At 35.3% G+C, this 26,815-nt stretch overlaps 1 pseudogene across 1 annotated transcript in view, besides 3 other annotated features; it reads right to left on the reverse strand.

The window, feature by feature from the left end:
* The window catches only part of GUSBP15 (GUSB pseudogene 15), a 104,680-nt pseudogene that overhangs the window by 51,239 nt on the left and 26,626 nt on the right, over positions 1-26,815 (reverse strand). The window contains exons 3-4 of the transcript NR_034021.1: positions 24,559-24,592; positions 22,937-23,092 (exon numbers count right to left, since the gene is read on the reverse strand). The product of NR_034021.1 is annotated as a GUSB pseudogene 15 (transcript). The remainder of the gene's footprint in view (positions 1-22,936; positions 23,093-24,558; positions 24,593-26,815) is intronic.
* Positions 938-1,438: an enhancer, noted in NCBI's record as "H3K4me1 hESC enhancer chr5:69829046-69829546 (GRCh37/hg19 assembly coordinates)". NCBI's record gives its function as "activates a minimal SCP1, AML or CMV promoter by ChIP-STARR-seq in primed H9 embryonic stem cells {active_cell/tissue: H9 hESC(primed)}" and the evidence as "EXISTENCE:reporter gene assay evidence [ECO:0000049][PMID:30033119]".
* Positions 6,361-6,862: an enhancer, noted in NCBI's record as "OCT4-NANOG-H3K27ac hESC enhancer chr5:69834469-69834970 (GRCh37/hg19 assembly coordinates)". NCBI's record gives its function as "activates a minimal SCP1, AML or CMV promoter by ChIP-STARR-seq in naive H9 embryonic stem cells {active_cell/tissue: H9 hESC(naive)}" and the evidence as "EXISTENCE:reporter gene assay evidence [ECO:0000049][PMID:30033119]".
* Positions 6,863-7,362: an enhancer, noted in NCBI's record as "OCT4-NANOG-H3K27ac hESC enhancer chr5:69834971-69835470 (GRCh37/hg19 assembly coordinates)". NCBI's record gives its function as "activates a minimal SCP1, AML or CMV promoter by ChIP-STARR-seq in naive H9 embryonic stem cells {active_cell/tissue: H9 hESC(naive)}" and the evidence as "EXISTENCE:reporter gene assay evidence [ECO:0000049][PMID:30033119]".

The raw sequence follows: 26,815 nt of genomic DNA on the forward strand, positions 1-26,815 counted from the left end.
AAAATAGATTATACATTAAGTCTGCAAATTATAAATTATAAAATTCTCACAGAACCTGAAAAATTATTGATACTGTTAAATATTTAAAAAGCTGTCCTTGGAGAGAAAGAAACCTATCAGATTTACATCAACAAGTGTAATATGTCAGCCTATTACCATCTGCTACAGACTGCATGTTTGTGTTCCCTCAAAATTCATATGATAGGCCCGGCGCGGTGGCTCATGCCTGTAATCCCAGCACTTTGGGAGGCCGAGGCGGGTGGATCATGAGGTCAGGAGATCGAGATCATCCTGGCTAACATGGTAAAACCCCGTCTCTACTGAAAATACAAAAAATTAGCCGGGCGCAGTGGCGGGCGCCTTAGTCCCAGCTACTGAGGAGGCTGACGCAGGAGAATGGCGTGAACCCAGGAGGCGGAGCTTGTAGAGAGCCGAGATTGTGCCACTGCACTCCAGCCTGGGTGACAGACAGAGCGAGACTCTGTCTCAAAAAAAAAAAAAAAAAAAAAAAAAAAATTCATATGATAAAGCCCTAACCCCCAAGGTGAGGATACTGGGAGGCGTGGCCTTTAGGAGAGAATTAGGTTTAGATGAGGTCATGAGAATAGAGCCCCTATGGTGGCATTACTTCCTTTATAAGAAGAGACACTAGAGCTGCTTTTCTCCCTACCATGTGAGGATACCGAGAGAAGATGGCCATTTCCAATCTAGGAAGCAGGCCCTCTTTAAGAAACGTAATTTGCCAACACTTTGATCTTGCACTTCCAGTCTGCAGAACTGTGAGAAATATCTGTTTTTTTTTTTTTGTTTGTTTTTGTTTTTTTTGAGACAGAGTCTCATTCTGTCATCCAGGCTGGAGTACAGTGGTGCGATCATGGCTCACTGCAACCTCCGCCTCCCAGGTTCAAGCAATTCTCCCACCTCAGCCTCCCAAGTAGCTCAGACTACAGGCGTGCACCACCACGCCCAGCTAATTTTCGTAGAGACAAGGTTTTGCCATGCTGCCCAGGCTAGTCTCAAACTCCTGAGCTCAAGTTATCCACCTGCCTCGGCCTCCCAAAGTGTTAGGAATACAGGCATAAGCCACCACGCCTGGTCAAAATATCTACTGTTTAAGCTACCTAATTTATGGTATTCTGTTTTAGCAGCTGAAGCAGACTAAGATACCATCCTTATAAGCTACAGACCAGCACTATCCAATAGAACTTTATATGACGAGGAAATGTTTTATATCTGTGCTATCCCTTATGTTAGCCACTAGCCACATGTATCCATCAAGTATTTGAAATATGGCTAGTGCAACTAAAGAACTTAATTTTTAATTTTCTTTTTTTTTTTGAGATGGAGTCTCGCTCTGTCCCCCAGGCTGGAGTGCAGTGGCGCCATCTCGGCTCACTGCAAACTCTGCCTCCCAGGTTCACGCCATTCTCCTGCCTCAGCCTCCTGAGTAGCTGGGACTGCAGGCGCCCGCCACCACGCCCGGCTAATTTTTTGTATTTTTAATAGAGATGGGGGTTCACCGTCTTAGTAAGGATGGTCTCGATCTCCTGACCTAATGATCTGCCCGCCTCGGCCTCCCAAAGTGCTGGGATTACCGGCGTGACCCACCACGCCCGGCCAATTTTTATTTTATCTTATTTAAATAACCACATGTGGCTAGTGGCTAATGTATTGAACACTACAGCTGTAGACAATACGAAATAAATATAAAGCAGTCTCCACTTTGGAAAAACAGAAGACTCTTACTGCCTCATAATATAGATGAAAAATGAAATACTAAGATAAGTAAAACGTTCTTTAAAGAACAAAAACAAAAGAAAACCTAATGAAAGCTATAAAAGTCCATTGGATAATAATGCTACCAGTACTAAGGAAGTACAGCCCCTAAGAGTGATTTGCAGTCACAAATATAAAAATGACTATTCAAGTGAACTCCTAAGGTGAAAATTTCTTATTCACCATGCTCCAAAATGGTCTGTAATATTCTTCAGAGATGGCATGGTAAAGTACGATAAAAGGGTAATATTAACAGTATGCTGTCACAGGTGCCATTCTCTTAAAAAAGAAATCCAAAAATAAATATAAATGGAAAGCAAATAATTAATGGAGTTTTGACGGTCAATCAATGGTAAATATTATTGGCATTAGATTTTTCTATTAATTATAGTTTACCTATGATCATGTATTTTTCCATTTAAAAATTACCCTAAAACTTAATGGCTTAAAATAACAAATATGTATGACACAATTCATAGAAGTCAGGGAAATGATGGATTTGGGTAGGTGGTTCTGACTCAAAGTCTCTCATGAGTAAAGGTTGCTGTCATGTTGTTGACCCAGGCAGCATCCCCTGAAGCCTTTAACTTGTGTTGGAAGGTCCGTGTCTTAGTTTGTTTGCACTGTCGCTACAGAATACCATAGACAGGGTAGCTTATAAACAACAGAAACGTTTCTAATGGTACCGGAGGCTGGATGGTGCAAAATCAAGGTGCTTGCAGATTTGGTGTCTGGTCAGAGCCCATTTTTTAGTTCATAGATTACTGTCCTCTAGCTCACATGGCAGAAGGGGCAAGGACGCTTTTTGGGGTCTCTTTTATAAGGGCACTAATCCCCGGCTGGGCAAGGTGGCTCACATCTGTAATCCCAGTACTTTGGGAGGCTGAGGCAGGCAGATCACGAGGTCAGGAGTTCCAGACCAGCCTGGCCAGTATGGTGAAACCCCGTCTCTACTAAAAATACAAAAATTAGCCAGGTGTGGTGGTGCGTACCTGTAGTCTCAGCTACTCAGCTACTCAGGAGGCTGAGGCAGAAGAAACACTTGAACCCAGGAGGCAGACGTTGCAGTGAGCTGACATGGCACCACTGCACTCCAGCCTGGGTAACAGAGCAAAACTCTGTCTCAAAAATAAATAAATAAATAAATAAAAATAAAAATAAAAACAAAAAATAATAATCAAGGCACTAATCCCCAACATGAAGACAGACTATCATCTACCAAAAGCTCCACCTCCTACTATCATTACACTGGGGGTTAGGATTTCACAAATTCAGTGCATCATAGTCTGCTTCTAGAATGTTTAATCATTTGGCTGGATATCAGATAGGATGCCTCGGTTCTTCATGTGAGCTTTCTAGAAAAGATAGTTTGGAATTATTTGCATGGTGGCTGGGCTCGTAAAGAGTTGAAGGAGAGAAAGAGAGAGAAACACCAGTAAGGAGCAAATTAGTTCACTCAAAATTAAAACCCTAGCCTTTGTGACCTTGTCTCACAAGGTAACATTCCAATCCTGCGGTGTTTTATTTCTTAGATGGGAGTCACTCAGCTTAGCCTGCCTTCAAGGGGAGGAGTATGAAGCTCCACTTCTTAAACTGAGAAGAATCAACAAATATGTAGATATATATATTTTTAATAGTATTACAGCTCATGAACCCATTTAAACCCATTTTAGAACTTTAAAGAAATATTTTAAAACGGAATTTTCAATTAAGCAGAAGAAATTGCCAGCTGTGGAACAGTGAACTTTATCGCTGAAATCACACACATATATACACACACACAGTGCAAACTCATACATGATCAAATCTATAATCTTATTACACAAAGTTTTGTGAGAGGAAAAATGCTTGACTTTTCAAAAGGGCTCATTTATTAAAAATAAAATGACCATTGTGTTCATTTTAGCTGCAACCTTTAAGCAATCAATGACTATATACTTGCTGTAATCATCCTTTAAAATTAGAATTATTGAAAAGCTTTATCACTGATGAATGAAAGAAAGTAATATTGATTTGTGGCCAAGAGAGATAATCTCAGGCAATAAACAGGTGCAGTCTTTGAAGGAATCATTTTATTTTATTACTTTCTGACATTATTGAAGCCAATTTTAAATAAATTCATCATGTTTTTAAATTTAATCACGTATTATTTTATCATACATTAGGTAAAGTTTCAATCTAAGTAACTCCTGGATAAAAAATGAAGTATATCAATTTACAATTACAAATACCCAAATTGTACAGGCATGCATTTTTCAATGACATTTATAAACTGTGTTTTGTTGTTTGTGCCTTGTGTTTGTTTTATTAATCAAATTAATTTATACAGATATATGTATGGAAATGAGACAGATATAACCAGTTCTCTATAAGTAAGCATTATTTAATGGAGTCTTTCCTTTCACTAATGATCATCAGGACAGCTAGGGAAGTGAGTTGAAATTTTCAGGCCATTAGGTTAATAGTTCTAGTAATTCTAGTAATGTTTCGACAGTCATAATATAAATGATACTATGTGGCTTGAATTAATGCATTTTCTTATGTAACAAATAATAAGACAATTTTTAAAAGTGGTAATTACTATTTTTAAATATGACAATTAAAAATAATGAAAGAAAAGAGGTTGTACATTGAGTAGCCATAACATTATCTTTAAACATATTTATTCTTCATTTCCTAACTTTTCCCACCTTTTGGCTAAATCGTATGTTCTTTCTCTAACCTCACTTCTGTTTTATTACTCTCTGGGAAAGATTTTTATATAAAACGTCTAAGCAATCAAACCTAACACAGGATGAATTTCTACACATTACTATACCCTCTGGTCACTATTTTTTTCTTCTCTTTATTGCCCATTTCCCTGTTCTTGAAACATTCCAATTATTTGCCTTCCATGACATTCTACTCTTACTTTTACTTTTCTGTCTCTGATTACTCATTTCCAGTTCCTTTTGTCATCTCCTTGTCTTCCTACACCTGCCAATTAAATTTGAATTTCCTCTGCATTTCATCTTATGTCTCCTTTTCTTCTGCCAAATTCTCTCCTTAGACAAATACAGTCATTCCCATGGTTTTATATCCCACTTATATTCAGGGGCTCTAGAATGTATAGCGCCAGGCCAAATCTATCTTAAGAACTTACTTTACTTAACCAATTACATCTGCATCTGCTCAGGATCATGTAACCCACATCAGCATTTGGCTCTTTTGTAGACCCATTTTTTCTTTTCCTGGAAGTCTATTTTGACACCTACTTTCTGTCACTACCCACGTTTTAGCATTTAGCCTTGTCAATTTACTCTCATCCATATGTAACTCTATCCATTTTCTTCTATTATGAACAGCAGTTTGAGCCATCATGACCAATTTTGCAGTATCCCTTCTTAAATCAGCCTCCTGTTTCGCATTGGACATTTTCACCCCCCAGCAATTCCACCGATTTCATTCTCGGAAAAATATAAATGAAGAGTTACATTTTTCAATAGCCATAATCATTAAATTTCCATGTGTAAGAAAATGTTCAGAACAGTATCAGTGCATTTATAATAAAATTTAAAAACTTGACCCACAAATCTCTACTTGTCCTTCTAGTTTTATTTCATTTGTCTCTCGTCAATCTCTACATTCTGATCACCACAATCTTTTAATTCATCTGAAAGCTAAGCTCTCTCTTAATTTACATTCTCTATACTTGCAATTTTGTCTACCTAGAAGTGTCTTCTTCCATCTTTGGATTGTTATTGCAAATCCATTGAATAGTTCTCATCTGAATTGTTTCTTCCTTGGGATGACTTATAAACACTTCATCCTACAGCCAAATCAGAAGACCAATATCAAAATCTTTCATCACATCCTAAATTTGCTTATATGTAATTATATGGCAAGAATCTCTTTGTCTTTATAATCATTATTCACTTATCTATGTTTTTTAAAAACTCTTCTAGGTGGTGATGCTAAGCTCCGTAATGTTGGGCTTGTTACCTGTCTCAACTATCTTCCACACCTACCACAGTACCTGCTACATAGATGTATTCAATATATATTTTTAGAATTAGTAAATGATGAGCAAGCGTGTACTTTTGTTCTCTTTCATTACAGTGTTAGAAATGCTATTACAGCATTAGAAAAGATAATCAGAAAGAAAATTTAATAGATCATCAGAAAAAATCCCAAGACTTTTAGGCAAATGAGCCTACAAACACAGGTGGAATGGACTTGCAATTTACCAAGAAATAGGTTTGTCATACTTAGAAACCAACTGCATAAACATGTTTTTATCTATTAATAACTTCATTTTCCAAAACGCTCTACTTTATATGAGACGATTCTTGATGGAAATACCATTTGCTTCTAGGCTCGTTGCTTAAACATAAAGTTAAAAATCTTTGTATGACACATAAAATTGTGGTGACTGCTTAACTTTGCAACTATAGTGCTCCTGAAATGCTCATTTAACCAGTCTGTGTTCCAGACCTACAGAACTTAGATGGTGCTAACATTGCGCAAAAATTGTGTATTTCTTCTACAACTAACTTCTGATAAAAAGGGGGCAGAGAAGGTTAACTCTCTCCCCCTTTAGCTTTATTTGCTTAGTGAATTTCTACAAAACATAATTTAAGTGCTATATTTTTCCAAGGTTTTAATAAGGAAATAAAAACCGCAATAGGTATCTTAAGCAGAAAGTGCATTTCATACATATACAATAGGAAGGGCTAAAATAACTAAAGTAGCTGTGGCATGGAGGAAGGTTTTGAGTTCTTGAATTCAAAGGCACGCAATCATTTCTGCAATCCTGGGTCAAAAAGATGCTCCTGCTATTAAAACTTTAAGCCTCTTATGCCCATGAAACTGGGGATTAGGCACAAGGATATTGAATCCTACCACTTCCACTACTTCTGAACTATTGTCCCCATGATTTCACTTGCCAGAATCAACAATAGCAAGACAGGCTTTGATCTCTTCCATTTTTCTAAGTCTGATTCATATGCAAACAATCGGTAAGTGGTCTAAGCTGCATTCATAAAGCTAGCTCAAGGGAAGCTGCATTGCTTGTTTTGTTTTGTTTTAGTTTTCTAACCTCTTCAAAGAGTGGAACGAAAGTTGAGGAAACCTGTCCAACAGTCTACCACACACCTTCCATGAAAGGTTCCCCAACACCTCCAACAAAATAATGTAAACACATGCTGGAACCTGTATTACTCTCGCACCATAACACTTCCCACACTTCCCACGATACTTTTTCTCTTCATGGGAATATCCTTCCAAAACATGCTGATATCTCCTAAGCATTATTCATCTGTCGAATTTTCCCACCTATTGTAAGGTCTTCCAATTGTTAGGTTCTTAATAAATATATTTTAAATTATTAAAATTCTGAACTAATGGGTAATCAACTGTACGACCCGAATTGCTCATTTGCATACAGCTGAAGTCCCTCCTCAAAACTTCTGTAATACATGAAACTTAGGCAAATGGTTGGGTCATTACCATATATTACTTTATATTTTTATTTATCAGTATATGTGATTACAGTTATGCTTATGTTAATTGATATGTATATGTACATTGTATTATTCTGTTACATAGCACAGCATTTTGTACTCAAAAAGTGACCAATAATAATAAGCTACATACTTTGGGAAGCATTGCAGGCTAGTCGTACAGTTTTGTTTTGTTTTTTTCCCTGCAGCCTGACAACCTTTTTAGTCATTCACTAAACCTCTCTCAGCTTCAGTTTCTTCATCTGCAACATATAGCAAATAATAAAACTTAACTCAGATGGTTCTAGTGTGAAATAATACAGAGTAAATGTGCCACCAAATACAAACCAATGGCTTGATTGACATAACTCACTGCTAATTTTCTTGAAATGATTCAAAGTATTTTCCAGACAAGCACACACTGAGGGAATTCGTCACCACCAAACGAGTCCTATGAGAAATACTCAAAGGTGTCCCAAACACAAAAATGAAAGGTCAACATTCATCATCATCATCAAAACACATGAAAGTAGCAAACTCATAGGTCTTGTAAAACAGTCACACAAAGTAGGACGAGCAATCAAATAGCAACACAACAGATTTCCACCAAACCACAAAGACAAAGAGACACACAGAAAGAAAAACAAAAAACAACAACAAAATAACCCCAAAGAACTTATAAAACAAGTAGAAAACAAACAGCAATATGGCAGAAAGAAAACCTCATGTATTAACATTAACCTTGAATGTAAATGAATTAAACGTTCCACTTAAAATATATAGATTGATAGATATTGGGCCAGGTGCAGTTGCTCACACCTGTAATCCCAGCACTTTGGGAGGCCGAGGTGGGTGGATCACGAGGTCAGGAGTTCGAGGCCAGGCTGGCCAACATAGTGAAACCCTATCTCCATTAAAAATACAAAAATTAGCCAGGCGTGGTGGCCGGCACCTGTAATCCCATCTACTTGGGAGGCTGAAGCAGGAGAATCGCTTGAACCTGCAAGACGGAGTTTGCAGTGAGCCAAGATTGCGCCACTGCACTCCACTCTGGATGACAGAGTGAAACTCCATCTAAAAGTAAAAAAAAAAAAAAGAAAGGTAGATTGATGGAACGAACTAAAAAATGATCCAAAAATATTATGCTTACAAGAAACATATAGACACATACAGACTGAAAAGTAAAGACACATACAGATTTAAAGTAAATGGGTGAAAAAAGATACTCCATGTAACGGAGACTAAAAGCAAGCAGGAATAGCTATACTTATATCAAGTAAAACAGAACTTAAATCTAAAACAGTATAACAATGACAAAGGAAGTCATTACATAATGATAAAGGGATCAATTCAGCAAGAGGATATAACAATTCTAAACACATATGCATCCAACACTAGACCACCAAGATTCATCAAATAAATATTACTAGACATAAAAAAGGAATAGACAGCAATACGATAATACTGGGGGACTTTACCATCTCACTCACAGCATTAAATGTTATCATCAAGACAGAAAACAAATAAACCTAAGACTTAAATTCAACCTTAGATGAAATAGACCTAACTGACATTTACAGAAAATACTACCCAGCAACTACAGAATATACATTCTTAATAAAACCGCAATTTCACCCAACAATCCCACTACTGGAGATCTACCCAAAGGAGAACAGATAATTGTATGAAAAAGGTATCTGCACCCATATGTTTATCACAGCACTATTCACAATAGCAATGTGTCCCTCAGTGGATGATTACATTAATAAATCTGGCACATATGCGCTATAGAATACTATTCAGCTATACAAAAGAATAAAATCATGTCTTTTGTAACAACATGGATGTAACTGGTCATTATTTTAAGTGAAACAAATCAGACACAGAAAGACAAATACTGCATGTTCTCACTTATAACTGGAAGCTAAATAATGTATACACATGGACATAGAATGTGGAATGATAGACAACAGAGACTTGGAAATTTCAGGAGGGTGGGAGGAGGGGATGATGAGAAATTATGTAATGAGTACAATGTACATTTTTCAGGTGATGTATATTCTAAAACCCTTACTTCAACACTATGTACTTTATGGAGGTAATAAGATTATATTTGTATCCCATAAATTTACATAAATAAAAAATTGCCTTCTGTACTTACTTTAGCCCAGTTATTGTTAGGTTCAACATTCAGCACTTTACTCAAATTTTCTATAGCTTTCTGGACCTTTTTTTGATATTTATATATAGTAGTGTGGCACAGAAGTGCTAATATTTACCAAAATAAAAGTTATATTTTTAATTAAAAATTAATTAAAAGGTTGTAGAATCTCAGGATGGAATGCAGACTGTTACAAATTTATCTAGCTCTATTATGAACCATACAAAATAACTTCAGTGAGGGACTTAAGGGAAAGGGTGCTAGTCAAAGTGATATTGAAAATGAGTGCAGTCTCTTAAGATGAAAGGCAAAAGAAACTTGTACGAAGGCATTTAATTTAGTTGATAAAGATGTTCTTCTACTAAGGGCAGGTTATCAATTCTGGTACAGCTATATACATATACTGGAAGTGAACAATTAACTAAATAGATGTCACAAAATAAGAGTCAGGATTTTTATTGTTGGAGTGGGGGTTTAGAGATACAGGAAGGCATTGATGCTTGCGGGACTAGGTTAGAGGTAGTGACATCAGTAAGAACCCATGTTTAGCTTAATACAGACATAGATGGTGATATGGTTTACATTTTGTCCCCTCTCAAACCTCTCGTCCAATTGTAATCGCCAGTGTTGAAGGAGGGGTCTAGTGGGAGGGGATTGGATTATGGGGGCAGATTTCCTCCTTGCTGTTCTTGTGATAATGACTTAGTTCTCACACAATCTGGTTGTTTAAAAGTGTGTAGCATCTCCCCCTTAGTTCTCTTCCTCCTTCTCCAGCCATGTAAGATGTGCCTGCTTCCTCTTTGCCTTCTGCTATGACTGTACGTTTTCTGAGGCTTCCCCATCCTTGCTTCCTGTACAGCCTGTGCAACTGTGAGGCAATTAAAGCTCTTTTCTTTATAAATTACCTAGGATCAGGTAGTTCTTTATAACAATGGGATAATGGACTAATATAGATGTTTACATATAGAAATATTTAAAGATATGTGTAAGAATATACACATTGTTTCTTTGCTCTCTCATCTTAGAGAGCTATGAAAAAATTGATACTCCCTTAGCTACAGGCACAGCTAGCACTTAAATATTGATTTCATATATAGAAAGCAGGGCGTCTTTGAAAGTGGCTGATTCTAAGAATGGGGAAGAAAATACACAAGATGAGCCTGGGACATCCTCTAGTGCCAGAAATTATGAAAATACTAACAAAAATCTATTCGTGAGATATGTCAAACAAGCACAGGGGCCAAGTGAAAGGTCTTTCAATTTCTAGAATAATTTTAGCAACACAATACATTAATTGGTAGTATATTTGGATTATACCCAAAAATGTAATTTTCCTTAGTCCATATTGATATCAATAAATGACTGAATAAACAAATGAATGAGATAAAAGAGGTAAATCTCCTCTGCAAATAATTTACATATGTATTCCAACTAAAGGAAGTCAGCTCTTAAAGACATCTTAAGCAATACTGCAACTGAATTAGCTTTCCAAAGATACTGTCACAATTCATCTATTCCAAGACCTATACATTTCATATTTTAATATCTCCTGAAAATATAATGCATTTTACAATTCAGTGGTATGTCTTAGTTTAATTAGCCACAATGCGAATTACTTGCTTAACGGGACATAAAATAGTGCATTATACAATCTATGGGCTCTTGGACTCAAGAAAATACGATAGAAAGGAGTTTATGTTAGAGTCTGCACACTGACTAAAGATCAGAGCAGAAAGCAGATTCTAGGAACAGTCACATTTGTGGCAGTCACTGGTCTCGGCATGCAACAAAATTCAAAGTAAATAGTGGTAAGGTGGGAAATGGACAAAGCTATGTAGCTAGAATCAGAAGTCTTTGAAATCAAAACATCAAGATTCAAACTATTTAGGGGCAGTGGGGCTGACGTGGTGACCGTGGGCCTGATCAGATAAAACCTTTACAAAGAAACAGTAGCTCTCAGACTCACCTCCTGAGACAGAGTTGTTCTGAGGGGAAAATGGGTAAGTTTCTACAGTAACATACAGTACTTAAACATACAGTAAGATACAGTACTTAAAGCCCTGACCTGTCCAGTTCCCAACACATCTTTCTTGATGGGCACCTAAATGTCACCTTTTGGTTTTATTTTTGTGTTTTTCTCATCTAAGCTCGGAGAGCAAAGCCTGACAGGGTGAGCCCCCAAAGTGTGTTCATGTCTTAAGAGTGTCCAGAAGCCACCTAGGGAGTGTGCAAGTTTTTCATTTTCATGCCAGGGACAATGTCTCTCTTTATTGAGCTAATGGCAAGGTATGGGCCTCAGAATATGTACAGTTTGAACATATTTGCATCTTCCCTTTAATTAACTGTGAAATCTGTGAGGCTAATGAGAAGAAAATTGATGGGTAGTCGGTGGAAGAATTTTTTTTTCATTGTCATATCTTCAACTTTCCTGGGGTATAATAAGAGATGCACAGTCAATTCAGTATACTTGAAATGTGTGATGTGGTCAAATTTGAGATAGATATATATATATATGTATATACTTTTGGAAATATCACTACATTCACAACCATCATTATGAAAAGTTTTCTTGTGCACCTCAGTAATCAGTCTCTCCCTCCATGCTGTCTCCAGGCAGCCATTTGATTTTCCATCAGGTAACATGAGTGAGAAGAAAATGTTTGTTGCAAGCTATTGAAATTTTGTGGTTGTTCACTTTTTAGAAACTCTTTGGAATTTTCTTTCTCATATCTTTATTAACATATAAAGTGTCTGTTTGGCATACTTTCAGATAATGTAAATAATATACTCAGCAATTGTTTTGTGCTGGGCTTCCATTTAATCTTTCAAGATCATATGGATTTTTATAGCTTTATATGTTGTGTTTGGCATCTTAAGCTCACTATCTACCTACTGACTCTTAAATCCCAAACTCTAAAGAGGTTCTGAAGATTCCAAACAATGGCTTGATAGCTTAAAGTAAAAAAAGCTCAGGATAACTCAAATTTTGTGACTTAGCATGCTTGAGAAAGTTTTTTTTTTTTTTGAGACAGAGTCTCACTCAGTCACCCTGGCTGGAGTGCAGTGGCGGGATCTCGGCTTACTGCAAACTCCGCCTCCCGGGTTCACGCCATTCTCCTGCCTCAGCCTCCCGAGTAGATGGGACTAAGGCGCCCGCCACCGTGCCCGGCTAATTTTTTTTTGTATTTTTTAGTAGAGACGGGGTTTCACCGTGTTACCCACGATGGTCTCGATCACCTGACCTCGTGATCTGCCCACCTTGGCCTCCCAAAGTGCTGGGATTACAGGCGTGAGCCACCTCGCCCGGCCTTGAGAAAGTGCATTTAAGCTCCTTCCTAAATGAATGATTATTTAGTCTTGCAGTGTCCATAATTTCTTTAGGTCACTTACGGAAGTCTCAAACTTGTCTGTAACACCTGATAATAACTTCCAGTACTATTCTAAAATGTAGATTTACTTTATCACATTTTCTTCTAACTTCTACTTGCCCCTGTTGTAACAATCTTCATTCTTCTTTTGTACTTATATTTTCTCCTTTTAAAACTCAATATCTAGGTCCTCTCTTATAATTGTGCTTAAAATTCATCCTGCAGTAGTGTCAGAGCAGGGTTTCTCAAAGTCATTGTGGGGAACTATCGTGTACATTGTAAGATGATTAGCAACATCCCTAGCCTCGACCACCAGATGCCAGTAGCACACCCTCTCTTTCACAGTTTTTTTTTTTTTTTTAATCAGAAATATCTGCGCACATTGACAAATGTCCACCGGATGGGAAGAAGAATGTGGGGTGTAAAATTCCCATTTTTGAGACCCACTTGCTTAGAATGTATTAAAGACCTATAATTGAAAATACCTTGGCAAAATCTCCCAAAATTGTCTCTCAAAATAACAGTATATACAGTGTAACATACACAACATCCTGTTATACTAATGAAAAAATCTAAGAAAAACTCTATAGGATGATATTTAGATATTACAGTCACTATATTAACTATTAGGATAATGTGCCACTAATTCCCAATCGTCACTGCTTTCATGTAGTGCTTGCTCCATATTGTCTTAATGTTAATCCTTAACATACACAGCCTAACATATTTATTGATGTGAAAGTTTTTGTTTTATTTTCAACAACACGGTCTCAACCAGGGGTGATTTTCACTACCAGGGACAATTTGTCAATGTTTAGAGACAATTTTAGTTTTTACTGCTGTAGGTAGTGGAGTGTGCTATTCACATCCGGTAAGTTTAGGGCAGGAAAACTGGTAAACCTCCTATAACATGAGGCTAGAGCCCACAACAAAATTATCAGGTCCAAAAATGTCAATAGTATTGAAGGTGAGACAATTTCTAGGGAGATATTACACCTTGATATTCTCATTTAATATGCTGGTAATGTAATCCAGCATTTTTCCAAAAATGAGAATAGCCTGGTGGCCTTAAATGTCATTGTTTTACTCTTACTTACATTGGACTAAAGAATGAGATCAAATGCAGCTGAATAATTTGGATATTTAAAGCAATAACATTTTTCACTAACGCGCATAGGCTTAATGCCTGGGTGACAAAATAATCTGTATACCTATTTACCTATAGGTTTACCTATATAACAAACCTGCACATATACCCCTGAACTGAAAATAAAAGTTAATAAATAAAGTAATTACATTTGTTTAGAAATAAAATAAATTTAGAAATGGAAAATATTGTTGAAAATATTCTAAGAATTTTAAATTTATACATCAAAATAAAAATAATCTGAATATTATTACTAACAGAAAATCTTTGTCTTGATCTCAAATTCCAAGTAGAATACCTTTAGACTATCTCTAGCAATAGCTAACAGAATAAGATTTACAAATCTTGATAGATCATTTTTCATGCCTGTGTCATTTTAAAATGAATTGATGGCTGTTAAAACTTAATTTAGTTTGAGTCTCTTCCGGATCATATACATAGTTTTACAGACAGCCATGTTCAATGAAATTATAATATGTAACACAAGAAATATGCCAGATGTAAAGTAAGAATCTCTTTTAAACGCTCTGATATTCAAAACTCTTTATCAGATTTCCTAAACTAACGATTTTAAACAAAACCTTTTAGTTAAGAAAGCATTGGTCTCAATAGTAAATCTGCCAATATGAATTGCTGCATTTTATTTTTGAACTTTCTAAAGGCCATCTGCCAGAGTAATTAGATATAAAATCCTGCATGCAATCTAATATTAGATGAAAAGTTTAAACTACCAATGATACAATATTGATGCACAGAGGAATGAATTGATTTTTTATGTTATTCTCAAATTGAAAGTCAATCTTTTTATAAAATAAATTTATAAATAAATCCAAATATGATATTTTAGCTCACTTTTGACAGTAGGTTTTCAGTTTCTGATGTTAACAATGGCATAATTATGATTTGCTGAATGACTTTAAAGTGATCGGATAAGGAAACAATTAGGGTTTGCAGTAGCTGGAGAAAGAAAAAAAAGAAATATTTAGATATTGCATACTCAATATGGCACATACTACGTCATAGGCTTTAATATCAGTTGACTACTCTCTTTAGAAGGAGTACGGTTTGACCTAGACCAGTTTATTTATTCATTTTTGTAATAATTTTTCCTCATTCTCTTTGACACATTGGTTAACCTAAAATCACTGTGTTGCTTAGGACATTGACTAAAAATCGTAGTCTTTCAGTTTGTGGCTGCTCACAGGATTTTTTTTTTTTTTTTTTGCTTTGGCTTACTAAATAATCTTTTATTGGAGTTAAAACAACAAAGCTAGTAAAGATATATAAATCAATGCCAAAAAAAAGGAGACAGGCCTACTTATATGCCATTATCTTCTGTTATTGCCGTTGGATAGAAGACAGACATTATCATTTTTAATCAATTGTATACTTCATAAATATGATACAACAGATATTTTTACTTCCAAGATTATACATAGAGTTTTTATGATTCCTTTGTGAGTGTGAACTATATAGCTGTCCCTAAAACATAATTGAGAACAGAAAGGTTTTATTTTTAATTATATAATTTTCTTGCCCAAGTTATATGGATTCATAGGTTACAGAATGTATAACAATATACATTTTTTGCATTTTTAAATTTACTGTATAATTTATTTCTAAAACCAAATTTGATATACAACTATGTAAACCATTAAATATGATTTGGATTAAAATAATCTTAACAGACAAATCCAAAAACACTGCATTTTATTATTTCTATTTCTAATGTTACCTCCAGGTTTAAACTCCCCTAAGTAATTGACTCTACCTATTATGTTTGTGTTTTGAAACATCACTCTATATTGTAACAAAAAGAAAAATGACACAATTAGTTTCATATATGTACACAAAAATTTTCAGTTTTAAATAAGGAAATATAGTTTTGAAATTTAAAAAAGTAAATGTTATAATATTTTCTCAAATAATTTACTACTCATATTCCCATTGCTTAGTTTCATTAATTTTTACACTCACATTTTACATATCCAAGATATATTTCCAGCTTTATTTTCAGAATGAACTGCTAGGATCTTAGATGAGTTTATTATTTTGCACGAGGTGCCACTGCTTGACACCTGATTGTGTGTATACCCCCCTTTTTTTTTATATATACTTTTAAGTTTTAGGGTACATGTGCACAATGTGCAGGTTAGTTACATATGTATACATGTGCCATGCTGGTGTGCAGCACCAATTAACTCCTCATTTAGCATTAGGTATATCTCCTAATGCTATCCCTCCCCCCTCCCCCCACCCCATAACAGTCCCCAGAGTGTGATGTTCCCCTTCCTGTGTCCATGTGTTCTCATTGTTCAATTCCCACCTATGAGTGAGAACATCCGGTGTTTGGTTTTTTGTCCTTGCGATAGTTTACTGAGAATGATGATTTCCAATTTCATCCATGTCCCTACAAAGGACATGAACTCATCATTTTTTATGGCTGCATAGTATTGCATGGTGTATATGTGCCACATTTTCTTAATCCAGTCTATCACTGTTGGACATTTGGATTGGTTCCAAGTCTTTGCTGCCCAAGGTAATTTATAGATCCAATGCCATCCCCATCAAGCTACCAATGACTTTCTTCACAGAATTGGAAATAACTACTTTAAAGTTCGTATGGAACCAAAAAAGAGCCCGCGTTGCCAAGTCAATCCTAAGCCAAAAGAACAAAGCTGGAGGCATCACGCTACCTGACTTCAAACTATACTACAAGGCTACAGTAACCAAAACAGCACGGTACTGGTACCAAAACAGAGATATAGATCAATGGGACAGAACAGAGCCCTCAGAAATAACGCCGCATATCTACAACTATCTCATCTTTGACAAACCTGAGAAAAATAAGCAATGGGGAAAGGATTCCCTATTTAATAAATGGTGCTGGGAAAACTGGCTAGCCATATGGAGAAAGCTGAAACTGGATCCCTTCCTTACACCTTATACAAAAATTAATTCAAGATGGATTAAAGACTTAAACGTTAGACCTAAAACCATAAAAACCCTAGAAGAAAACCTACGCATTACCATTCAGGACACAGGCGTGGGCAAGGACTTCATGTCTAAAACACCAAAAGCAATGGCAACAAAAGCCAAAATTGACAAATGGGATCTAATTAAACTAAAGAGCTTCTGCACAGCAAAAGAAACTACCATCACAGTGAACAGGCAACCTACAGAATGGGAGAAAATTTTCGCAACCTACTCATCTGACAAAGGGTTAATATCCAGAATCTACAATGAACTCAAACAAATTTACAAGAAAAAAACAAACAACCCCATCAAAAAGTGGGCGAAGGACATGAACAGACACTTCGCAAAAGAAGACATTTATGCAGCCAAAAAACACATGAAAAAATGCTCACCATCACTGGCCATCAGAGAAATGCAAATCAAAACCACGATGAGATACCATCTCACACCAGTTAGAATGGCAATCATTAAAAAGCCAGGAAACAACAGGTGCTGGAGAGGATGTGGAGAAATAGGAACACTTTTATACTGTTGGTGGGACGGTAAACTAGTTCAACCATTGTCGAAGTCAGTGTGGCGATTCCTCAGGGATCTAGAACTAGAAATACCATTTGACCCAGCCATCCCATTACTGGGTATATACCCAAAGGATTATAAATCATGCTGCTATAAAGACACATGCACACGTATGTTTATTGCGGCACTATTCACAATACCCCATTCTTTAGACTTTTAAAATCAATACCCACTCTTCCCCACGAACAAGAGAAAGTAAAAACAACTAACAGTGGATTTCTGTATCACGATGACTCATTTTCAATAGAACACTACCATAGGTCAAATGGATGAATGCATAAATAATGAATGGATTAATATCTTTTATATAATCATGTGCCACATAACAACGTTTACATCAATAAGAGACAGCATGTAAAACAATGGCTCATTAAGATTATAATAGGGTTGAAAAATTGCTATCACCATTATAGATTGATCACTCTATGAAGTTTGCACAGTAAGATAATCACCTAGCCACACACTTCTCAGAACATATCCTCATTGCTAAGTGACACAAGGCTATATTTCATTTAATGATTGCGTAAATAGTTGTTGAGAAAAATCTGCACTCTAAGTACCAGGATAAAAGAGATTAATAATAAATTAATGATTAAATGCACCATGATCAATCTTATCATTGAGGTCTATATGCTACATTTGGATTACATCGTAAAGGCAGAGGTTAATCATCGCAACTTACACAACAGGATACAGAGTGGATCAGCAGATAATTACATAATAGAATACAGTTTGAAACCTGCAAGATGCATTAGAATTAATTAGAATCAAACCATATGTGTGACTTTGGTTTAAATGTGCAAAACCTATTAATATAGATATAGCCAGGACATTTCTATTGTGTGTGTGTATATATATATATATATATAGTGTGTATATATATATATATATACACACACATATACATTTATATATACATACATACATATATATAATATATAATATATATATATATATATATATATATATTTTTTTTTTTTTTTTGTGATGGAGTTTCGCTCTTGCTGCCCAGGCTGGAGTGCAATGGCATGGTTTCAGCTCACTGCAACCTCCGCTTCCAAGGTTCAAGCAATTCTCCTGCCTCAGCCTCCCAAGTGGCTGGAATTACAGGGGCCAACCACCACACCAGGCATATCTTTGTATTTTTAGTAGAAACTGCTTTCACCATGTTGGCCAGGCTGGTCTCGAACTCCTGACCTCAAGTGATCTACCCCCTCGGCCTCCCAAAGTGCTGGGATTACAGGTGTGAGTCACTGTACCCAGTTTGTCTTTATAAATCTTATAGAAATATTTAACTTTTAAAATCAACCACACACAATTAAGACTTTGATAAAAGTAATTAAGAAGTAAAGCAATGGAAAAAGCAATTTTTAAAAACATATATGAATGATTGAAAGCCAGGAGTAAAATTAAGAATTGTATTAAAATATCACTATTAAAATTAGCTACATAAATATTTAATTAATGCAGCTAAATTGTTAACAAAATTTACAGAAGAAAAGTATGTTAACATTACTGAATCATCTTAAAATCTTATTAAAATTTAAAGTTCTTCTCAACTGAAATTATATCACAGAAAAAAATAATGTCACCTTAAAAAGTTTAGGATTAGAAATACATAATTATTTTTAAATATAGTCTTTATATATTAATTATATTTCATTAATGTCTTATTTCTTGAATAAACTTTTTTCATGATACTATTTAAGTGCCACATTCTACAATAATATGGAAAACAATTCTACAAAATGTGGCATACAGTAATTGATAGGTAGTATAGCACACCTTTTATCTCTTTATAGCAAAAACATAATGTGTAAATTAATATAACACTAAGTCCCATATTGTCATTTTTTGTCAAAGAGCTATCTCCTTGAAAACCATCATCCTCAGATGCATCTCTAACTTCAAAAAGACCTTAGAAACTGTAACAATTGTAAATGCGTTATAACTTAAAGAGATATTATCTTCACATTAGAGGCTAACAGGCTTATACCTACTGATAGCTGACAAGTATTATAGGAATCCTGGCAGGCAAATTGTTGCATAAAAATTATGTAATTTACTAACTGTAAAATAACCTTTAGAGTTTAGAATCAGTCAGATAAGTAGAACAGACAATTGTTATCAAAGCCATATAAATGGCTATTAAAATTATTTTTTGCTACCCTCATTTTATCTCTGAAGAGACATCTTGTTAAAAAATGAATAACAGACACATATAAATACCTAATTACAAGCAGAGTTAAGATTAAAATTCAGCCTCATTAGGGGTGGGATAGAAATCAGTACACTAAAGAATATTTTGGTGCAGGTAGTTTGTTTCAAATGATTCAACCTTCAACATTACTTCACTTAAATTTTAGCAAACTTTCTGCTATAATTTAAGCATACAGACCTATGACACTAGACATATGTCCTGTGTAAGCCTGGGCTAGGGGAGCTCTATTTAATACTTACATAAACCCCAAAGATGTCCTAAGAAATAAAATTTGGAAAAACTTTGATGTGCTACAGCACGGATTTTCTCCTACAGCAACAGAGCAGACACTTGAATGTAGTTATACTCCTGCTTTCCACCTCCCTGTCAAAACAATAAAAAAGGCCACAGGCCTGTGGTTCTGGCCTCCAGGGAACTGGTGGCTTCTTTAACCCACACTGCTGCTGCTGAATCCCATTTAGGTTTAGGGTTTATTTTGTATATGCCTTTGTACAGGCTAAATGCTGGTCTAGTTGAAAATCAACCTAAAACAACCTTAATAGCATCTCATTTTATTGTGACTTTACTTTTTGTGTTGTTTGGTGTTTTACTTTTGGAGACAGAGTCTTAATCTGTCACCAAGGCTGGAGTGCAGTGGCATGATTATGGCTCAACCTCCAGGCTCAAGTGACCCTCCCACTTCAGCCACCTGAGTAGCTGATACCACAGGAACATGCCACCACATAAGGCTAACTTAAAGAACATTTTTTTAGATGGGATCTCACTATGTTGCCCAGGCTGATCTTGAGCTCTTTGCCCCAAGCAATCCTCCCACCTTGGCCTCCCAAAGTGCAGGGATTATAGGTGTGAGCCACTATGCCAGGCCTCTCTCATGACTTTAAACTTGAACATGCTTTTGTGCTGTGGCCGAGTTTAGGATCCCAACCAGCCTGTGATTACTGTGGTCACCACACAGATTCCCTCTTGTTCCATCTTTTATATTCCATCTTCTCACTCTCATAACTGTGTGGATAGGAAAACAATTATCCATACAGGTATGATATTGGCAGAGAAAATCACAAAATGTTTTAATGAGCAAACACTTTGGGGATGGTAATAATCTTTCTACCACCTTCATTGTCTTGTTTAAGTATCTCTACATTCTTCTTTAAAAATTAGGAATATATCTTTCTTGCTCTTTCGTTGTTGTTGAACACCAGAAGGGGATATTCCTTAATTCTCTCTCCATAGCTAAGGACAGTACAGCACAATATTCCATTCAGCAGGTGAAGTCAGTATGAATGAATGCATTTCAATCAGCAAATTGCTGGTTGTGTTGCAACTCCTAGTTATGATGTTTTGTGTACTTTGAAGGGCTCCCATTAATTAAGGTATTTCTTATAAGCATTCAGAAAGTTTCTTTTCTTGGCATGCGACTTGAAAATTTGTCCTGATATTTTCCCTGTGACAATGTTTTGTGAATTGTAACTCAGCCACTTAAGTGGCTCCTCATAATAAAGCCACATGGTATCCATGTACACATATTTAACAAATCAAAGAAGTGGTTCTCAACCTAATCTCTAGAGGAGGTCCTTCTTGTTCACTTTCAATAACTATGTTGAAGAATAGATTCTAAAAAGCTATCACCAAATTTTCGAATATGTTTTGAAATTTGTGTCCACAAAATCTATAAATCAATAAATGTATAGAATAGAGCATAATAATCCAATTAACAAATTTAAGATGTCATCTAAGCAGGAATGAATGCAATAAATAGGCCTTCTTACTTCAAAATCAACTGCAGAGGTAATGCATTGCCACTAGACTTGTGTGCTGTGTTGGTAATAAATTAACAAAAACTTTGGGGATAAGAAAAATCTGCAAATAAAATGGTGTGTCATTTGTGAAATATAATCACAAAAATGTTCAGATTGTTATAATTAACAGAAAAACTATTGTTTTTATTATATCCAGTGTTTAACAGACACTATTCATGTATACATACAACATTCTTATAATAACTCTTGTGTCCATGTAAATAGCAGTCTTGCCAAAAAGAATTGATTATCATGTAGTAGTTTGTAAGTATTTTCATGCATAGGCTGCAACCCTTTAGAGTGCTATTCTAATAAATTATTAATATTAACTTGATGAACACAATTCTAAGACATTTCATTTGAGGATATGTTTATTAACTATTAGGTTGGTACAAAAGGCATTGCGTTTTTTGCCATTACTTTCAATAAAAAATAGAACCAGCATTTAGAAATCTACTTTCAGAAACTTAATAAAATGAGAATTTGTCCTCTTTTACATATAGGAAGCCTGCATAATAAGCATTCTGTTGCTAGTACATAAGCTTCCCATTTTCATCAGGAAACTATACACTTACATTTCACTTTTACTAACTTCAATGCATGACTTCTACCTTCAAGGTGATTTCATGCTTCTAGCCACCATGTCTGTACTCCAGGACAGCAGCACAAAGTGTAGAAAAATAAAAAAGACATACCTCCCTAATGAGTCAACTGCACTTAAGGAGCCATCCCAGAAGTTTCACACGGCTTATTTGAATACAGCTATATCCAGATGCAAGGAATGCTGGGAAATGTGGTATTGTGCGCAGCTAAAGTTGGGATTATGTTAGTGAAAATGAGACCACGAACATTGGAAGGTTAAAAGCAATCTCTCATGACATATACAATTACAGAAATTAAATTAAATCTTTAAGCAATGTGATAAACCTATGGAATGTTAACAGGCAAAAATAGCAACATTAAAAATTACAGTGAGGGAATAAGGTATGATTCGTTTGTAGATGGTTTGTGTGTCATTAATCTAGGCAAAAAGTCATAAACTCCTCTAACAGTGACCACATGTATAAAAGAAATAATAATACACACTATGGCTAACAACATTCCATTTTGGCCTATTTACTGTTGTTAAGTCTCTATGGTTAGCATCAGAAATGTACAGTTTTGATAGCCTATGACCTCAACATGTTCAGTTTGATAGTAGAAAGGACAACATAAAGACAAACCAATCAACAAATAAGAATAAAAACTGTTAAAAAAAGGACAATATTATCATAAGAACATAAGGATGTGATAATGTATTTGACATATCGTTTATTTATTGTTTTATAGTTGGATAATACATATAAATTTACTGCTCCTTCAATGTTAGAATCAATAGAATCATAGCAGAAGTAATTAAGCAGATAAAGATCAAAACGTCACCTTTATTACTTACTGTTTGAAAAATAGTCTAAGGCTGGTTTTACAGGGTTGCTCCTATCCATCACCTGATGTGAAGTTTCTTAGGAAGCTTCAGGACTACACCAAAGAAGCAGAACCTGCTCTTTCACTCTGTTGCATTGTGTGGAGTGCAGGCCATCATGACTGCTCTCTACAAGAAAAAGAAAGGAAATAATTAAGAAACGCACAAAAGTTTGTGAATTGAGAATCCCAAAATAGGTATGAAATTGGTTAGCTTTCTAAATTCACCAATCTCATAACTAACACCTGTCCCCATGCAGTGAATGAGTAAAGGATGGACAGACTCCATAATGATTATTCTAGGGAAAGCCTTCTGAGTAGAAAGAGGAGAGTTTTGCAAACAGTTTTGTAGAGTTTACTCTTGTTTATGCACTGATAATAAATAAGAGTTCCTAAAATTCTCTCTAGAACTCTAGGTAAATGAGATATTTCACTGCTCATGCTGTGTGACCTTCATGTCCCATCTGCCTAGACTGTAAATATGCTTTCTGAAGTTTAAAAGAATTAGTATACTATGCTTACATTAAGCAAAAAAGTACCCTTATTATGCAGGATCAAGTAACACTCTAAAGATTCATGTTTATGAAAAAACACTGATGATTCTATTTTATTATGTGTCTTCTAAAGAGAAAAATACTTGTGCTCTGCAGCATAATTTTACAATGTGCTATTCTAAATACTTTCATTTAAACAAGACCATTATGAAAATGTTTTGCACACAGAAATATATTTTGAATACTTTTTTAAAAAGATCACAAAGTATATGGTCTCTGTACGTGTTCAATTATTTTAATGCTTTCACTATAACAGGAATTCTTAAAGAGGATATGTACTTGCATAATGCTGATAATTCTTTCTCATTTCTGTTTGTGCTTTGGCTGTTGTTACAACCACTGAAAGTAGTAATTACATGAGTGTATTATCCATGATTATCTTTAGATATATGTGCATTTTCTTTAATTAAACTATAAACTCTAAATGAAAAATAAAAAAGAAGTCACCTCTTGTCTCTTTGTACAATATTAAAATTTTTTTCTTGTATCCAGAGTTTCCCAAATGCCTGTTGCAAAATTTTACTTAGGGAGTAGAAAGTGGAGAATCAATATGGTAAAAAAAAACTGTGTTACAGGGAAGGAGACACAGGGTAAGCATTTTCCTTATCTTCTCTCCTGTATCTACGTGCTGCACAAGCATAAATGATAGCAGTCACATGAACGAGTACTTTTCAAGAACGTAGAATATGGTGATGGAAAAAAAAAACCGCTTTGAAACATCGAATAATATAAAAGCCAGAACTACTACAACTATTTTTTACATCCATAGAAGGTAAACTATTTTTAGATATAAAATTCCTTCTGACGGTAGTCCTGATCATTTAACCAATATTTTGATAAATCAAAGAAGGGAAAAATGGACATTCAGTCCAAAGATGGGCATGTATTCCCATGCCCAGTCAGGCAAAATTGTGGATGTTCTTTAAAATAACAATTCATTCAACAAATAATTTTTAAATGGCTACTGAATACCTGGAAAGGTTCTAGACACAGGGGCTATAGTAAGAAACAAGAAGGAACTAATTGACAAGAATGTGCTCACCGACAATGAAACATCTCCTCATGGAGCTTGAGTTCTGTTTGAAAAGACAGAGAACAAAAAAATATTATTGCACAGAGTGTTAGTTATGTGTGAATTAAAAGACTGGTCAGTACTTGAAGGAGAAGGAGTGACAACAAATCTCACTTCCAGTTCTATTTACCTGAACAGATTAATTCTATTTTGTTTCAATGCAACAGTAGTCCTACGGTTAACAAGATGCACTACACAAAGCAAACAACTTATAAAACGCATTTTTTCCTTATATTGCAAATCAATTTTAAGTGGATCTACAAATATACAATAAATAATATAAATTACGGATCGTTTGTTTCTAAGGTAATAAGTACATTTGTTAATTTCACATAAATAATTTCAGAAGGAGAGCAAATGTAAAAATGTGTTTTAGACAGTGGAGATGCCATTTTATTGTAAGACTATTTATACTCAAAGGACAAAGTAATCAGCTTTCTATGTCAATGATCGTCCTTCTCTATTTCACCCAGTTCCAGACAAACCCAAGTCTTCCAAGTCTCTTCATATATCTGATCCAATAAAATCTATAATGAGTTCAGTTAGCATACACACACACACACACACACACACCACACACACACAAGCACACAAACACACACACGACTGCATTGAAATACTTGCTCTAGGGAAGGAACATAGTGTATATGCAACTTGTGTACTTTCTAAGTATGGGAAGACTAATCCTTTAACAACTGCATTTACTTTCTTTCACTTCTATCGTTGCTATCTACTCCTCAGAAATCTACTTAAACAACCAATAAATATATATGATGTTGTTATGAGAGTTTTGGAAATAATTCCTAAAAATTTGCATGGTTGCCTCTTTATATTTGGCAGCTTCTATCACCCATGGGAACAACCCCTACAGAATGATCAGAATATAAAGCATGTGAGCCCTGGGTTTCTCAGGCACTGGAAGGACCTGTCAGAATCCTCTCAGGTGGGTCAAAATGGCCAGGCTTTATAACCTCATCTCCATTCGTGTTTGCATGTCCAGTGCTCCAGGATGCCCTAACATTGAGCCAGACAATGGTTACAGCTGAGGCAAACTTTGAAGGAGCTGAGAGCTGAAGGCTGCTTTGTAATATTGCTCCTAGCAGCCAAGGGGGAAAGAAATCTTTTCTTGAAGAGCGATCTGTGTCCATAGCAAAATGTTTTTTTCTTAGCTCTTGTAAAATCGAAATTGTTTGCTTTTGAATTTTTTTAAATGATTCCTTTAAGATTCTTAATACCAAGATATCACAAGGTCAAGGAATTTTATAAAGAAGTATTTCTATTTATGTAATTTCCTAAATTTATCTATACACAAATCAGCACTAAAACATGCCTTTGATACTAACAACTTGATCGGTTTGTGAACCAAATCTGTCATGCAAATACATACGGCTGTTTTTAGATAAATTCTAAAGGTATTACCAAATCATTTAATTTTATTGTGTATCTCAATATTCTGGTTGATGTATAAGTTTAAATAGAACAAACTATTTGACATTGAAATGTTCTTTATCAAAGGAGAAGGAATACAATTTTAAAGCCACAACGAGTGACACATAGTTCTGAATGATTTATTGGCTGTCTGCCATTCTGAAATGGCTGCCAGTCAATGTTACATGTGACATCTTTCAGATAGTGTGAACTCTTTTATGCAAGCACCTTTCACTATAAAATTACAGCTGGAGATCATGAAGAGAAAAGTGTGGTGTTTATCTTAATGGGCTGAAAGACCTATTTCAACAGTTACAGTAATTCAGAAAAATAGTCTGAAGTCTAGTATTTCAATAATGTTATTTTCATAGATTTTAATCTCTAAAGACAATGCTTCACTTTTGTAGAAAATGACTTTTCTAATCATCCTGGATTTCAAAATTCTTTCCATTACTTAATATTTAAATCACTGGCAGAACTTGGCATGAGGACTAGAGAGCTGTCACCAAGCAGCCAGTCATTTTTCTTGGCTTCCCATATGCCATGCCCAGCAATAGAGCATTTCTTAGTAGCTGAGGAATAGCAGCAGTGCTAAACACAGAGATGACATTAACAGGAATGAGAGGGTCCAAGCTGTTTTCCTAGACTAATTCTCATTCAGCCTGAATTCAAAGCATTTTCCTATCATTATCATAGATATTTCGCTTGTGGTATTATCTATCTTTTGGCAATGTTGATTTTTTTCTGATTATCCAAATAAGTAATGTTAATGGAAAAAATCAGATATTAGGGGAAAAAA

The sequence above is a fragment of the Homo sapiens genome, chromosome 5 (assembly GCF_000001405.40).
Source record: "Homo sapiens chromosome 5, GRCh38.p14 Primary Assembly".
Lineage (NCBI taxonomy): Eukaryota > Metazoa > Chordata > Mammalia > Primates > Hominidae > Homo > Homo sapiens.